This window comes from Homo sapiens, chromosome 15 (assembly GCF_000001405.40).
Source record: "Homo sapiens chromosome 15, GRCh38.p14 Primary Assembly".
Taxonomy (NCBI): domain Eukaryota; kingdom Metazoa; phylum Chordata; class Mammalia; order Primates; family Hominidae; genus Homo; species Homo sapiens.
In genome coordinates, this window is record NC_000015.10 from 98,996,502 (window position 1) to 99,013,094 (window position 16,593).

General features: G+C 47.4%; 1 protein-coding gene across 2 annotated transcripts in view; it reads right to left on the reverse strand.

Moving 5' to 3' along the window:
* Positions 1-11,291, reverse strand: part of PGPEP1L (pyroglutamyl-peptidase I like) — a 39,564-nt gene extending 28,273 nt beyond the window's left edge. Inside the window, exons 1-2 of one of the 2 annotated variants that reach the window (NM_001167902.2) lie at positions 10,858-11,291; positions 8,928-9,155 (exon numbers count right to left, since the gene is read on the reverse strand). Coding sequence is in view for 1 of the 2 variants with exons in the window: in NM_001102612.2 (NP_001096082.2) it covers positions 4,686-4,706 (21 nt within the window). In the remaining variant the exon portion in view is untranslated. Of the gene's footprint in view, positions 1-4,685; positions 4,779-8,927; positions 9,156-10,857 lie in introns of those variants that run through there. The other variant, NM_001102612.2, reaches the window with a different exon arrangement.
* Between the last annotated feature and the right edge of the window lie 5,302 nt (positions 11,292-16,593).

The window sequence follows — 16,593 nt, forward strand, 5'->3', positions numbered from 1 at the left end:
ACATGCATGTGTATATAGGGGTATGTGTGTGTGTGTGTGTGTGTGCATATGTATAGGTATGGGTGTGCATGCATGTATTATGTGTGTTGTGTATGCTTGTTGTATGTGTATATGCCTGCGTGTATGTGTGTTGTGTGCATGTTGTATATGTATATATGCATGCACGTGTGTATGCCTGTGTATCCATGTGTGCACGCGTGGGTACGTGTTTGGTCCTCAGAGCTGCCCTTTACCTTCTGCTTGCCCAGCCATGCAGAGGCTCTATCTTACCTAGTGATATCTACCTTATCTGTGAATCATCAGAGTCAGATCCTATTTGCCTGCAGCTAAGAACCTTGACTCATGGAATAGCCTTTTAGTAATAGAAGAATTATATCTGTGAGCACTGGCAATATGCCCCACCTGGTTCTAAGGGGTTTACATGTGTTAACTCCGTTAATCATCACACCTTCCCATTTCACAGATGAGAAAATTGAGACACAGAAAAGCTGGGTGACTTGTCTTGGGTCTCGCAGCTTGCCACTGTTGGAGCTAAACCCAGGAGGCCTGGCTCTTTTCCATTCTCATGACTGTAAAAAGAAATAGAAGGGTTCAGGATCATCGAGGATTTGGCAAAAAAGGTCCTGTGTTTTGAGGAACTGCCTGCAGACACACAGGAGCCCATGAAAGCCCCAAGCTGGCCTTTCTGGTATGTTGTGTGCAGCAGTGAGGCTTGGCAGTGGCTCTGGGATGCCCTCAGCTTTTTCCTGGTTGAAAGGAACCTAAATTCTAACTCAAGAGTTGAGAGTTTTCCTTGACTGCATCTGTACTGACAGCCTAGAAAACCGATGCTGCAGCTGCTGCAAATGCATGGTGCAAGGGGTTTTGCTGCATTTTCAGCTTGACCAAAAAACTCAGAATAAAGACCTCACCTTGATCCAACGGAGGCATGAAATTGATGGCCAAGTGTGAATAAGCAGTTGGCGGTGTGTCACCTGAGTGACAGCTGTATGGGGACAGAGAGCAGACAAGTGCCCCAAGGAGAAGAGGCAGTTCCCTCCTCAAGGCCTGTCTGAGGTTGTGCTTTCTCCTAGTTGGCTTTCTTACAAATAAACATGTTGTTTATGACAACAGACATTTATTAAGTGCTTTCTCTGTGCCCAGGTGCTAAAATAGCTGCTTGTACAAAGTGGCTTTACATTACATACTTACCTCTTTGGGTCCTCAGAACAACCCTGCAACATCTGCTTTATTATTCCCTCATTTCATGAATGAGAAAACTGAGGCTGGGGGAAATGACTTTCCCCCGGGCCCCATAGCCAGAAGGGACACAGACAATAGAAACCTCGCTCTGGGCCAGCGAACCTGCTCTGAGGACACTCCCCATCCCTCCCAGGAGGGTCCCTTTAGGCCCCTTTCTTTACTTCAGAGGCAGGAGGGGCATGAGGCAGACAAGTCACAACCCAAGTGCCAAAGACAAGCTGTTCTCCCAGGGGCCCATGCACTTGTTTTTCCCCCTGCCCCTGCGGATCTGGTTACTGACGGGCCTGAACGCCGGAGGTTTCTCAGCAGCCACAGAAGAAACTCATTGGGCGCTGAGCTCCTGGGTCTTGAGCTACAGGGTTTTTACCTTCACTGCTTCCCAGCTGGAATTCACCAAGTGCTGCCGGAAGGGCCCAAAACCTGAAACCAAACATGCCCAGGTTTGCTCAAGCCAGACCTTGGGACTGGGGCCTCTACTCCTGGCTGCACTCGAGCACCAGGTCCCACCCCATAAGACTCTGTTCCTGCTCCTCAGACCATCTTGGGCCCTAGGGATCTTTGCACGTCCCCTTCCCCATGGAGGCTGCAACTGTGCCAACCTGGGAGCATTCTCAGAGTCCTCACATGTGAGGCATTGTTGGGGAGCAAAGAAAGAACATGGAGCTGACCCACTGCCAAGCTGCGAGGGCTTAAGAACATGTGTGCACAGATGTCTGAATAAAAAGCATGCTTTGTAAAGAACCCTGGAATAGACCCACATGAATATGCCCAATTGTTTGTTGACATAGGTGCAAAAGCAATTTCAATGGAAAAGGGATAGGTTCGTCAACCAATGGTGTTAGAACAATTAGACACTAACAGGCAAAAAACCTGAACCCTTCAACCTAAGCCTCACCCCTTACACAAAACTTAACCCAAATGAATAATGGACTTAAATATAAAAAGCAGAAGTAGCCTGGCATGGTGGCTCATGCCTGTAATCCCAGCAATTTGGGAGGCCAAGGTGGGTGGATCACCTGAGGTCAGGAGTTCGAGACCAGCCTGGCCAACATGGCGAAACCCCGTCTCTACTAAATATACAAAAATTAGCCAGACATGGTGGGCACCTATAATCCCAGCTACTAGGAAGGCTGAGGCAGGAGAATCGCTTGAACCCGGAAGGCAGAGGTTGCAGTGAGCTGAGATTGCGCCACTTAACTCCAGCCTGGGCGAAAGAGCAAAACTGTTTCAGAAAAACAAACAAAAAACTAAGTTTTTTGGGGGGAAGGAGAAAATCTTAGGCTTTAAGGCTAGGCAAAGAGTTCTTAGATTTGAAACCAAAAGCAGGCTGCATAACAGGAATAATTAACAAACTAGATTCCGTCAAAATTAAAAACTCTTGCTCTGTGAAAGTCCCTGTTAAGAGGAGGAAGAGATAAGCTACAGATGGAGAAAATAGTTGCAAATCATGTATTTCACCAAGGCTTTGTATATAAAATACATAAAGAACTCTTGAAACTCAAACAGTCCAATCAGCAGATGGGCAAACCACATGAAGAGACATGTCAGTGATGAGGATATACAGGTGGCAAATAAGCACATGAAAAGATGTTCAACATCATTAGCTATCATAGAAATACAAATTAAAATCTGGATGAGATGTCACAGCACACTTATCAGAGTGGCTAAAATAGAAAGACTGATAACACCAAATGTTGGCAAGGATGAGGAGAAACTAGGTCACTCACACATTGCTGGTGGGAATATAAAATGGTACTGTTGCTCCGGGAAATAGTTTGACAATTTTTTTTTAATTGAAAGTGGATTTACTAGCATTTGCACTCCTGGACATTTATCTCAGAGAAATGAAAACTTATTTTCATACAGAAGTGTATACAAAAACGTTCATAGAAGCTTTATTTGTAATAGACCAAAGCTGGAAACTACCCAAATGTTCTTCAGTGGGTTAACAGTCAAACCAATCATGGTTCACCCATCTCACAGAATACACTCAGCAGTGGAAGAGAGAAGTAGAAACATCAAAATGTCCATCAACTGATGAATGGCAAACAAAATGTGGTATAATCCACACAATGAAATATTATTTGTCAATAAAAAGGAATGAAGTACTGATACATGCTACTGAGAAGGTGACAGCATGCTGGCAGTCCTTGCAGCCCTTGCGCACTCTCAGCCCCTCCTGTGCCTGGGCTCCCACTTTGGTGACACTTGAGGAGCCCTCCAGCCCACCACTGCACTGTGGGAGCCCCTTTCTGGGCAGGCCAAGGCCAGCGCCAGCTCTCTCAGCTTGCAGGGAGGCGTGGAGGGAGAGGCGCGGGCGGGAACCGGGGCTGCGTGCAGTGCTTGCGGGCCAGCGCGAATTCCGGGTGGGCGTGGGCTCCGCGGGCCCCGCACTGGGAGTGGCCGGCCAGCCCCGCCGGCCCCAGGCAGTGAGGGGCTTAGCATCTGGGCCAGTAGCTGCTGTGCTCAACTTCTCGCTGGGCCTTAGCTGCCTTCCTGCCGGGCAGGGCTCAGGACCTGCAGCCCGCCATGCCGGAGCTCCCCCTCCTCCGTGGGCTCCTGTGCCAACGAGCCTCCCAGACAAGCTGGCCCCCTGCTCCACGGCGCCCAGTCCCATCGACCACCCCAAGGGCTGAGGAGTGCGGGCACATGGCACAGGACTGGCAGGCAGCTCCACCTACGGCCCCAGTGCGGGATCCACAGGGTAAAGCCAGCTGGGCTCCTGAGTCTGGTGGGGATGGAGAACCTTTATTTCTAGCTAAGGGATTGTAAATACACCAATCGGCACTCTGTATCTAGCTCAAGGTTTGTAAACACACCAATCAGCACCCTGTGTCTAGCTCAGGGTTTGTGAATGCACCAATCGACGCTCTGTATCTAGCTACTCTGGTGGGGACTTGGAGAACCTTTGTATCCACACTCTGTATCTAACTAATCTAGTGGGGAACTTTTGTGTCTAACTCAGGGATTATAAACACACCAATCAGCACCCTGTCAAAATGGACCAATCAGTTCTCTGTAAAATGGACCAATCAGCAGGATGTGGGTGGGGCCAGATAAGAGAAAAAAAAGCAGGCTGCGGGAGCCAACAGTGGCAACCCACTCGGGTCCCCTTCCACACTGTGGAAGCTTTGTTCTTTCGCTCTTTACAATCAATCTTGCTGCTGCTCATTCTTTGGGTCCACACTGCCTTTATGAGCTGTAACTCACCACAAAGGTCTCCAGTTTCACTCCTGAAACCAGCGAGACCACGAACCCACTGGGAGGAATGAACTCCAGACACGCTGCCTTAAGAGCTGTAACACTCACTCCAAAGGTCCGCAGCTTCACTCCTGAGCCAGCAAGACCATGAACCCACCAGAAGGAAGAAACTCTGAACACATCCAAACATCAGTCAAGAAATAAACTCTGGACACGCCGCCTTTAAGAACTGTAACACTCACCACGAGAGTCCGCGGCTTCATTCTTGAAGTCAGTGAGACCAACAACCCACCAATTCTGGACACACTACCACGTGGCTCAACCTTGAAAACATGCTAAATGAAAGAAGCCAGAGGCAAAGGACCACATGTAAAATGATTCCATTTATATGAAATGTCAGAAGAGGCACATCTATAGGGACAAAGTATATTAGTGGTTGCCAGAAGCTGGGTATGTGTGTTGTGGGGGGACGTGAGTGGTGAAAGCTAAGGGGTGTGGGGTTTCTTTCTGGGGTGCTGAAAATGTTCTAAAATTGACTGTAGTGATGAATATGTAACTTCGTGACTATACTGAGCCACTGAATGTTACTCGCTTTAAATGAGTAAATGGTATAGCATGTGGATTATATCTCAATGAAGTAGTTTAAAAACTTTTTATAATGGACTATTGATACATACAACCTGGATGAACCTTAAATTACTCCAAGTGAAAAAGAACCAATCTCAAAAGGACATGTACTGTATGATTTCATTTATATATTTGTGTTTTTTATTTTTGCTTGTTTGCTTTTTGAGACAGAGTCTCACCCTGTCACGTAGGCTGGAGTGCAGTGGTGTGATCTCAGCTCACTGCAACCTCCGCCTCCTGGGTTCAAGCAATTCTCCTGCCTCAGCCTCCTAAGTAGCTGGGGTTACAGGTGCCCATCACCATGCCCAGCTAATTTTTGTATTTTTAGTAGAGATGGGGTTTCACTATGTTGGCCAGGCTGGTCTCGAACTCCTGCCCTAAGTGATCCACCCCTCTGGGCTTCTCAAAGTGCTGGGATTATAGGCATAAGCCATCGCACCTGGCCCTATTTTTATTTTCAGACAGGATCTCACTCTGTCATGCAGGCTGGAGTGTAGTACCACGATCATAGCTTACTGCAGCTTCCATCTCCTGGGCTCAAGTGATCCTTCCACGTCAGCCTCCCGAGTAGCTGGGACCACAGGTGCATGCCACCATGTCTGATTAATTTTTTGTATTTTTGCCAGGTTTCCCAGGCTGCCCTCGAACTCCTGGTCTCAGGTGATCTGCCCATCTCAACCTCCCAAAGTGCTGGGATTACAGGTGTGAGTCATTGTACCCAGCCTACATAAAATATTTGTAAAATAAAATGATTATACAGATGGAGAACAGACTAATGGTTGCCAGGTGTTTGAGATGGGAGGAAGCGGGTGGGTGTGGCTGTAAAGAGCTAGCACGAGTGAGCTTTGTGGTGATGGTACTGCTAGGTATCTTGATTGTGGTGGTGGTGATAGGAAGCTACACTAGCTGAAATTACACACACACACGCACACATACTGCAAGCACAAATTTTGAATTATACCAATGTCAATATCCTGGCTTTTATATTGAAAATGTTAATATGTCAATATCAGGAGAGGCTGGGTAAAGGGTACAGGGAACCTCTGTACACTTCTTGGCAAATTCCTATATTTATTTCAAAATAAAAAGTTTTAAAAAGTGTGTGGCCTCCTGTGTGGGAGACTAGCCAGTGCCAGATATGCCTGTGATGGAGTCAGGTGCTCAATTAAGTGGGCTGCAGATACAAGTGGAATTCTCTAACTCAGCTTTATCCCGGAGTACAGCTGAGGTTTTCAGTTCCACCTCTGATTCCTGTGACATTTCCACCTCTGATTCCTGTGACATATTTCTCAAGTCATTCATATTCTTTGATGAGGAAAGGGCTGTGACTAAATGTCAGTCTCTGAGAACCCAGCTCCCTGGACCTCAGGCCTTTAGACTAGGAACCAGTTCTGGAGAGAAACTTGAATTATACCTTTGCAATTCCTGAACATCTGGGTCTAGACCCACAAACAGGGTTGGCTCATGAGGAAGTAAAAACTTTCTGAGGGAATGAAACAGTTTTGGACAGAACGTCCCAAAAAGCCCATGGTGTCCTCTGATTCAACCAAATCCTTCAGAATAAATAAGACTTTAGCTGCCCTTGGAAACAGCCAGAAAAAAAAAAGGGCAGTTATAGAAAATAGTGAGATTAAAAAAAAAAAAAAGCACTGAGAAGCCAGGTACCTCCTGGGATAATAAAAATACAATAAAAATGCAGCAACACACACAAAAATCACATTCTGCTTTAGAATCATATTTGTATCAGCAAATATGACATCTCTTATCTGTTTTAAATTAGAAAAATCAACTCTGCAAGTGAAGGTTTGAAGCTCTTGTGTTTCAAGTTCAAACCTCACTTTAAACTTGGTCAGCCCCCAGTGCAACTTGCAAACGGAGCTGGAGAAATCTTAGAATTCTGAGAGGCCCGTGGGAGGGATGCACGTTTTCTCACTCTTGTGGTTATCGTTGGTGCCAGTCTGAACACTTTGATCTCGAAGCAATTTGTCGGAGCCCTCGTTCTCCCACCATCTGTCTACATGCCAATTGTCTTGAGGAGATTTACACACGAAGCAAATCCAATTAAATGAAGAGACTGCCCCTGGCAGCTCTAAGCATTTCTAACACAGGAAGGCCACGCTCTGGAATCCAGCGGGCATTCCCAAATCATGGCTGATTATCAGGTATTTCATCAAACAATTTCCAGTTTGCCAGCAAACCACAGGCTGACAAGACAAAGGCAGGGGTCAGTGTGATTCTAAGATGGTGCTTCAATGTTCATATTTCATTCATGACAAGCATTGCATGCATTAGAGTACAGTTTCCTTAGGAATTCAAGAGTAATTTGAACCATTCAATCTCCAGAACCAAAATAACACAAATAAGAGCAAGGGAGATAAAAGGTTTCCCAAAGAACTTTTTCTCTGAAGGTCGATAGGAGTTAGAATTATAGTCTGAAAAGATTAAGCGACACAACTTTCAATTTCCCATTCATCCAGGAAACCCTGCCTCTTCATCCAACACAATTCAGAAAACTTAAAACCGGCCAAATGTGTCTAACTAAAAATGAAGGCTGGACATGATGGCTCATGCCTGTAATCCCTGCATTTTGGGAGGCCAAGGCGGGAGGATCACTTCAGCCCGGGAGTTAGAGACCAGTCTGGGGAATACAGGAAAACCCTGTTTCTACTAAAAACTAAAATAAAATAAATTGGGGGGTGTGGTGGTGAGTGCCTGTTGTCCCAGCTACTCCAGAGGCTGAGGTGGGAGGATTACTTGAGCCCAGGAGTTTGAGGCTGCAGTGAGTTATGACTGAGCCACTGCACTCCAGTCTGGACAACAGAGGGAGACTGTCTCAGAAAAATTAAAAATATAAAAATAAAAATAGGGCCAGGCGCAGTGGCTCATGCCTGTAGTCCCAGCACTTTGGGAGGCCTAGGCGGGCAGATCACAAGGTCAAGAGATCGAAACCATCCTGGCCAACATGGTGAAACCCCATCTCTACTAAAAATACAAAAATTAGCTGGGCGTGGTGGTGCGTACCTGTAGTCCCAGCTACTCGGGAGGCTGAGGCAGGAGAATCGCTTGAACCCAGGAGGCGGAGGCTGCAGTGAGCTGAGCTTACGCCACTGCACTCTAGCCTAGCGACAGAACAAGACTCTGTCTCAAAAAAAAATTAATAAAAATAAAGACCTTTGTGAAGATCAGGCCCCCAGGGACCAGCTGGGATGCTGACTTGGTGAGGCAAGTGTGGGTGGGGGTGACTCTGGATGTGCTGGTGTTTGCAGGAGTGAGCAGCCACCATTCCTTCCAAGTTGACCTTCTGGGGCTCAGGGTCTCCAGCTAGTGGCTCTCGGGGGGTGCTTCACAGCTCCCTGAAAAATGGAAGTTCTTACTCTGGAAGTGGGGACTGTGTGTTCCTTTGCGGGTGGCTGTTGTAGATGGGTTTGCAAGCCTTGTGAGGGCCCTGTGGTTTCTGGGCGTATAGATCCCTCTTCCTTGCTATGAGCCTGCACCCCCAAGGGATACCTCACGTGCCTCGGGCCCCACTCAGGGAAAACAGGTACCAGCCTCAGCTTCCTCCCTGCTGGGTTGAAAGGCAAGGTCTGAGCCTAAGCCACCAGTGGCACCTTCGTGCCCGCCACTCGAGAGTTACTTGAAGCGAATGAGCCACAGAAGCAGAAATGCCTGTGATCCTGATTGTTTATTAATAGGGCACAGCAGCAAGTTCGTTTCCATCTGGAATTATTAGCACCACCAGTTGCCATTCTTTTTTTCCCTCAGGGAACTATTTAAGACCCAGGATCAGGCCAGTGCGCATTCCAGGGGCAGGCTAAAAGCAGCAACAAATAGGAGAGAAAAAAATTATGTAGTCTTACCAGTCACCACCACGCAGCTGGGCTGGGAATCCATGAAGACGAAGTGGGAGCTCGCGCTGCGCCTCCCTGGCTCAGGCAGCGGCCCAGCGGCCGGGCTCTGCGCGCTCTGAGCTCCGGGCACCTTCTCTGCCTGGCCGCGTGCTCGCCGGGGACCGGGGTGGAGCGGGAGCCCAACCCCTCCTGGCCGCCCGGCGTCCGTAGCGTTCTGGGCCCCGAAAGGCCAAGGATCTAGGGGAGGGTGATAAAGCAATGCCCCTTGAAAGCAGAACGATCCAGCTCAGGACAGCGGGTTGGAGCGCCAGCAGGGACTTTCTGGACATTTGAGTCTGGGTCACTTTGTTGTTCAGGATGGTTCAAAGGTGAGCTAAGGGTTTGGCTACCAGCTGTCCCGGTTTGCCTGGGACAGAAGGATGTCTGGGACGGAACACCACATGGTGCTCAAAGAGGTACTGTCCTAGGAACTGTGGGCTACCCTACAAGTCGTTTACTTAGATCTTATTTTTTCCTCTTTAGTAATCCCTGCCAGAGCCCCTCATTGTGTTTGGCCATTATGATTTGGTAAAATTTGATTGCTCTGAAAACTAATTCCACAAAATATGTGAGATGTGAGCAGAAAAAAAAGAGAGAAAACCATAGATGAATCTTATGGCGCCTGCCTTTAAAATATTGATTGCAAGCACCGCTGCCTAGGAGCTGTGGGTCCTCAGGGAAGTTAACCTCTGTGCTCAGGTTTCCTGTTTTGAGAAACGAGGATCGCAGCACCGGATCCTGTATGGATTCTTTCTGTGCCCCAGGCACTGTCCCCAGCTTCATCAGCCCTGAGGAACAGAGGCTTGCCACCTAGCTAGCGTCTGTGCAAGCTTGCTAGCTCTGTGCTCACCACCCTGCGTTCTACCTGCGAAAAGTGCTTTCTTGACACTGTGCTGGACTCCTTAAACATGCCACTGACAGTGAGCCACAGCCGTGGCATGCCACCTGGCTCTGCAGACAGTCCTCTTTTTAATGTGTCAGAATAACTGAAAAAGGCTAACATTTGAGGCTATTTCCTCTATCGAAAAAGCTGTTTTCCAATATCTTGATCTTTCGGAGAATTCTATTTAAAAACAAAACAAACTTTTGGCCAGGTGCACTGGCTCACGCCTTTAATTTCAGCATTTTGAGAGGCCAAGGTAGGAGGATAGCCTGAGGCCAGGAGTTCAAGATCAACCTGGGCAACGTGGCAAGACTGCATCAATTATTTTTTTCAAAACGTGGTATATGCCCATAGTCCTGGCTTCTCAGGGAGGCTGAAGCGGGAGGATCACTTGAGCCGTCAGTCGTAACTGCACCTCTGCACTCCACCCTGGGTGACAGAGTGAGACCCTGTCTCTAAAAATATTCTTAAACTTTTTTTTAAACTGAAAATACTTTTTTCCTGAAGCTGTATATTAAGAGGAAGAAGACCCATGATTCTCTGTCCCCATCTAGGTCTGGGGAGGAGAAGCTCCCTTCAGGGAAGCAGGCAGAGCCTCTCAAGCACCCTGCGGCCTCTAGAGAGCTCAGTGTGACAGCAGGACCACGTGGCTCCATCTGCTGAATTGTCCTCCTGATATAAAGCGCTCCCTTTTAATTGGGATCACCCCCGCGGATTAGACCCCCCTTGGTGGCTTTCTGGGATTCTGAACCAGGAACAATTCCCTTTAATTAGCTCCTGGTGTGGGCTGCAGGCCTCTTCACTGCCAACAGGTGGGAAGCGCCATTTGCTCCCACTAGTCTCCCACTCCCTGTCCTGAGAAGCTGGGCCCACCTTGCCATGAGTGGGATGCAGAGGATTTTTGTACTTTGCCTCATTTCACAGAAGTTACCCGGTTTCTCAATATACCCCGGATGCACTTGTAGACTTGGTCTCTACCTCCTCTGGTGAGCAGCTCTCCTAGCTCCTATCACTTACCTAGTTCCGTCATGGTGTGTCCAGAATCGGCGGATTCTTGGTCTCACTGACTTCAAGAACGAAGCCGCGGACCCTGGCGGTGAGTGTTACAGTTTTTAAAGGCAGCGTGTCCCAAGTTTGTTTCTTCTGATGCTCGCATGTGTTCGGAGTTTCTTCCTTCTGGCAGATTCGTGATCTCGCTGACTTCAGGAGTGAAGCTACGGACCTTCATCATGAGTGCTACGGCTCTTAAGGTGGCGTGTTTGGAGTTATTCGTTTCTCCCGGTGGGTCCGTGATGTGGCTGGCTTTAAGAACGAAGCTGCAGACCTTCACGGTGAGCGTTACAGCTCATAAAGGCAGTGCGGACCCAAACAGTAAGCAGCAGCAACGGTTATTGCAAACAAGCAAAACAACAAAACTTCCACAGCACAGAAGGCGACTCCAGCAAGTTGCTACTGCTACCTGGGGCAGCCTGCTTTTATTCTCTTATCTGGCCCCACCCACATCCTGCTGATTGGTCCATTTTACAGAGAGCCGATTGGTCTGTTTTACAGAGAGCTGATTGGTCCGTTTTGACAGGGTGCTGATGGGTGCGTTTACAATCCTGGAGCTGGACACAAAAGTTCTCCACGTCCCCACTAGATTAGCTAGATACAGAGTGTGGACACAAAGGTTCTCCAAGTCCCCACCAGAGTAGCTAGATACAGAGCGTCGATTGGTGCATTCACAAACCCTGAGCTAGACACAGGGTGCTGATTGGTGTGTTTACAAACCTTGAGCTAGATACAGAGTGCCCATTGGTGTATTTACAATCCCTTAGTTAAACATAAAGGTTCTCCAAGTCCCTTCCAGACTCAGAAGCCCAGCTGGCTTCACCCAGTGGATCCCGCACCAGGGCCGCAGGTGGAGCTGCCTGCCAGTCCTGTGCAGTGCGCCTGCACTCCTCAGCCGTTGGGTGGTCGATGGGACTGGGTCCTGTGGAGCAGGGGGCGGCACTCGTGGGGGAGGCTCAGGCCGCGCAGGAGCCCATGACGCGGGGGAGGAGGCTCAGGTATGGCGGGCTGCAGGTCCCGAGCCATGCCCCGCACGGAGGCAGCTAAGGCCCCGCGAGAAGTCGAGCACTAACAGCTGCTGGCCCAGGTGCTAAGCCCCTCACTGCCCGTGGCCGGCGGGGCGGGCTGGCTGCTTGGAGTGCGGGGCCCGCCGAGCCCACGCCCACCCGGAACTCGCACTGGCGCGCAAGCGCGGCGTGCAGCCCCGGTTCCCGCCCGCGTCTCTCCCTCCACACCTCCCCGCAAGCTGAGGGAGCCGGCTCTGGCTTTGGCCAGCCCAGGAAGGGGCTCCCACAGTGCAGCGGCGGGCTGAAGGGCTCCTCAAGTGCCGTTAAAGTGGGAGCCCAGGCAGAGGAGCCGAGAGTGAGTGACGGCTGCGAGGCCTACCAGCATGTTGTCACCTCTCAGTGGGGGCTTGGCTTCCTCTGCACAGTTAAAGGAAGAGATTGGACCATTAAGAAATGCCCACTTCTTCTTTTTTTTTTTTTTTCAGATGTAGTCTCGCTCTGTTGCCCAGGCTGGAGTGCAGTGGCGCGATCTCGGCTCACTGCAGCCTCCGCCTCCCAGGTTCAAGCAGTTCTCTCCCTCAGCCTCCGGAGTAGCTGGGATTACAGGCACCTGCCACCAGCCCTGGCTATTTTTTGTATTTTTAGTAGAGACAGAGTTTGACCATCTTGGCCAGGCTGGTCTTGAACTCCTGACCTCGTGATCCACCTGCCTCGGCCTCCCAAAGTGCTGTGATTACAGGCGTGAGCCACCGCGCCCGTCCAGAAATGCCCACATTTGTAAAGTTGGTTGCTGCTAGGGTCCAACTCTGCTATCAACATTCACCTATGAGGTCTGGGAATGGGAACTTGTGTTTAAGGAGACTCCTTAAGTGCAAAGACTGCCCATCTTTAACCATACTACTTTTCTGATAACAAAGCTGAAATTTTCATCATTTTTTTTTTGATTTGACAGGAGCTATTATTTTAACTAAACTGGAATGTGTCCTGCAGTTTTCACTTTCCCATAATTCACTTATTTTTTTCTGTTCTAAAGTTTTCTCTAATTTTGAAATTAATAGAAAAAACAACACAAAATATTTTACTTAGTCACAGTGATATGTCTATTTTTGTATTCATTCACCTCCCCTCTCCCCACACAAGAACCCCCCAGCACATTCCTACTTTCTGGAATGAAAATAGCTCTGAGAAGTATGGATTTTGAGGTTCAACATCTGCACTTTTATTTCTTTTTCCATTGTAAAAACAAATGGTCTCTAATAATTGATGTCAAACACAGTCTTTAGGCTGATGAAATACAGTAAGCCTGAGAACGAATAAGGCAACTAAATGGAGCTGTTTTATTTAACAGAGAGCACAGTGATCTTCCTTACAAGCGGGATTCCCGAGAGGAAAATGTTTGTAATCAGATTTGACTCTAGGATTAAGAGGGCAAGGTGCGACCCTCTTAGTGAACCGGAAAGTAAGCAACGGTACACAAGTGTTCTCACCAGGGACAGCAAATGGGAGTTGCCAAGATTACAAGATCCCAAGACCTCAACTATTTCACGTGCTGAACTAAACTCAAAACTTTGTGGGATTTGTTTTAAATTTCTCATTGGCAAGTGGTGACTTCCTGCTCTCGCAAGAAAAAAGATTAAAGGGGTTTGTTTACTGTCTCTGACACAAACAGCTCTTACAACACATTTTGTACACTTGACATAAATGAAATTTAATCAAACTGGTCAAATTCCTTTGGGAGGTGGGGAGAAAATAAATCAATCAGCAAGAAGCACTTGTGATTTCCAAAATAATGATAACATAAGTCTTTCTCCATGTCAAACATCACTGTTTCCAGATAAGCGACTTAGCTCTACTATAAAACACAACCCATAGCCAAATTGCTTCTTGTCAAAGCACTAAGGGATCCTCCAATAATGTCACTCTACCAAGGCAGATTCAGAACTCACCCTCCTCTATACCTCTGCCTCTGCAGCTTTGTACCCCAGCAGGGGCCAGCCAGCACACGATTTCTGAAAAGGGCCATAAAATAAATGAATAAATGTAGTAGACTTTTTTTTTTTTTTTTTTGAGACAGGGTCTCACTCTGTGGCCCAAGCTGGAGTGCAGTGGTGCAATCTCGGTTCACTGCAACCTCCGCCTCCCGGTTCAAGCAATTCTCGTGCCTCAGCCTCCTGAGTAGCTGGGATTACAGGTGTGCACCACCACACCCGGCTAATTTTAGTAGTGCCTGTAGTCGCAGCTAATCGGGAGGCTGAGGGAGGAGAATGGCGTGAACCTGGGAGGCAGAGCTTGCAGTGAGCCGAAATCGCATGCTGCACTCCAGCCTGGGCGACAGAGTGAGACTCTGTCGCAAGGTGATATTTCTGTTACATTTTGTAGGAGAAGGATTTGTCTTTATTTTTCTTCTGTCTTATATTTTTCCCTCAGACTTTTGCTAAGCCTTGATCACTTTTTTTTTTAGGGACTACAGCTCCTTGACTGCAAAGTAACAACTGTTGCAAAAGGAAGTTTTCTACTTGTTAAAATCCAGTAGCTTGTTACCCCTATTGTTTAAATACTGGATTTTTCTTTCAAATTTCACAAATATCTTAGGAATGACTGGAACATTTGTGTTCTTAACACTGAGGAAATTCCTGTGTAGACAAATGAGGCCAGATGGAGGGTGCAGCAGAGAGCTTAATATCCTCTTGGAATGGAAGAGGGGCCACACTAAAACATGCACCAGGCCTTCGAGGGGCCGCTATTTTCCAGTATACACATGTAAGAGGCATTTTTCTTTTTTTCTTGACTGGGGCCAAAGGTAACTTTCGTGTCAGAAGTGAGTGCTAAGTGGCTGAGTAGGTTTGAGGAAGGCTTAGCGATCCAGCTTATTTATAGACAATCCGATTATAATATTTATGATCATTGATTTTTAAAAATTACTGGACCTCTTAAAAATGGTTAGATATGAGACTGGTATATACTGAAGCTAATAGCTTTCTCTTTTTAAAGAGATAGTGTTTCTCTCTGACGACACACAGGCTGGAGTGCAGTGGCACTGTCAGAGCTCACTGCATCCTCAAACTCCTGAGCTCAAGCGATCTTCCTGCCTCAGCCTTCTGTGTAGCTGGGACCACAGGTGTGTGCCACCATGCTTGGCTAATTTTTCAATTTTTTTTTTTTTGTAGAGATGGAGTCTTGCTATGTTGCTCAGGCTGGTCTTGAACTCTTGGCCTTAACCAATCCTCCTGCCTTGGCCTCCCAAAGTGTTGGGATTACAGGTGGGAGCCACCTCTCAGGGCCTAAGAGTTTTCTTATATATCAGCAATAACTAATTCTAATGTAATTGGAGAAAAGAGCCCATCCACAATGCCCTTCAAATATCAGAAATCTCTAGGAATAAACCTGGCAAGAAATGTATGAGATCCTTTTGTGGAAAACTGTGGAACTGGCGGGGTGCGGTGGCTCACGCTAGTAATCCCAGCACTTTGGGAGGCCGAGGCAGGTGGATCACCTGAGGTCAGGAGTTCCAGACAAGCCTGGCCAACATGGTGAAACCCTGTTCTCTACTAAAAATACAAAAATTAGCTGGGCGCGGTGGCTCACGCTAGTAACCCCAGCACTTTGGGAGGCCAACGCAGGTGGATCACCTGAGGTCAGGAGTTCCAGACAAGCCTGGCCAACATGGTGAAACCCCATCTCTACTAAAAATACAAAAATTAGCCAGGTGTAGTGGTTCATGCCTGTAATCCTAGCTACTTAGGAGGCTGAGGCAGGAGAATCACTTGAACCCAGGAGGAGGAGGTTGCAGTGAGCCGAGATCGCACCATTGCACTCCAGCCTGGGCAACAAGAGTGAAACTCTGTCTCAAAAAAAAAAAAAAGAAAAAGAAAAGAAAAAAGAAAAGAAAACTGTGGGACTTTAAGAAAAAAACATAGAAGACCCGAATAAAACAAAGGATGCCATGTTCTGTAATGGGAAGATTCGAAACTTTAAAAATGTTAATGCAAACCGATGTTAAAGACTAGATGCAACTGGCTTGCCTTCCCAGATATCCAAATATATGCTAAAAGCTAGGGTAATTAAAATAGTGCAGTGTTGTTGTAGAAATAGGAAAACTGTCAATAAAACAGCTAGAATGTGTATGAGAATTTAATATATAGTTAAAGAGATAATTCAAATTAGTAGCGGAAAGAATATACCATTTAATGGTGTGGGAACCATGAGATATAGCTAGATCCATTCCTTATGCCATATAGGTCAGTAAATTATGATTGGATTAAAATTCAAATCTGAAAATCAAGACAGTAAAAATACTGGAAGTAAATTTAGAAGAATTATTTTCTAGTTTTGGAGTAGTTTCAAAATACTCATGCGAGACGCAAAACTCAGAAACTAAAAGGAAAAGAGGAGGTATTTGACTAATACTGACTTTGGATATAGGAGTTGAATGAGAAGCAGGGAACTTTTCAGTTCATTATTCTTTATATATACTGTATACACACACACACACATACATATTTTAAAAGAACTGTTCAAGCTCTATACATGTAATTTTTTTTTTTTTTTGAGACAGAGTCTCGCTCTGTTGACCAGGCTGGGGTGCAGTGGCGCGATCTTGGCTCACTGCAAGCTCCGCCTTCCGGGTTCACACCCTTCTCCTGCCTCAGCCTCCGGAGTAGCGGGGACTACAGGCGCCCGCCACCACGCCCGGCTA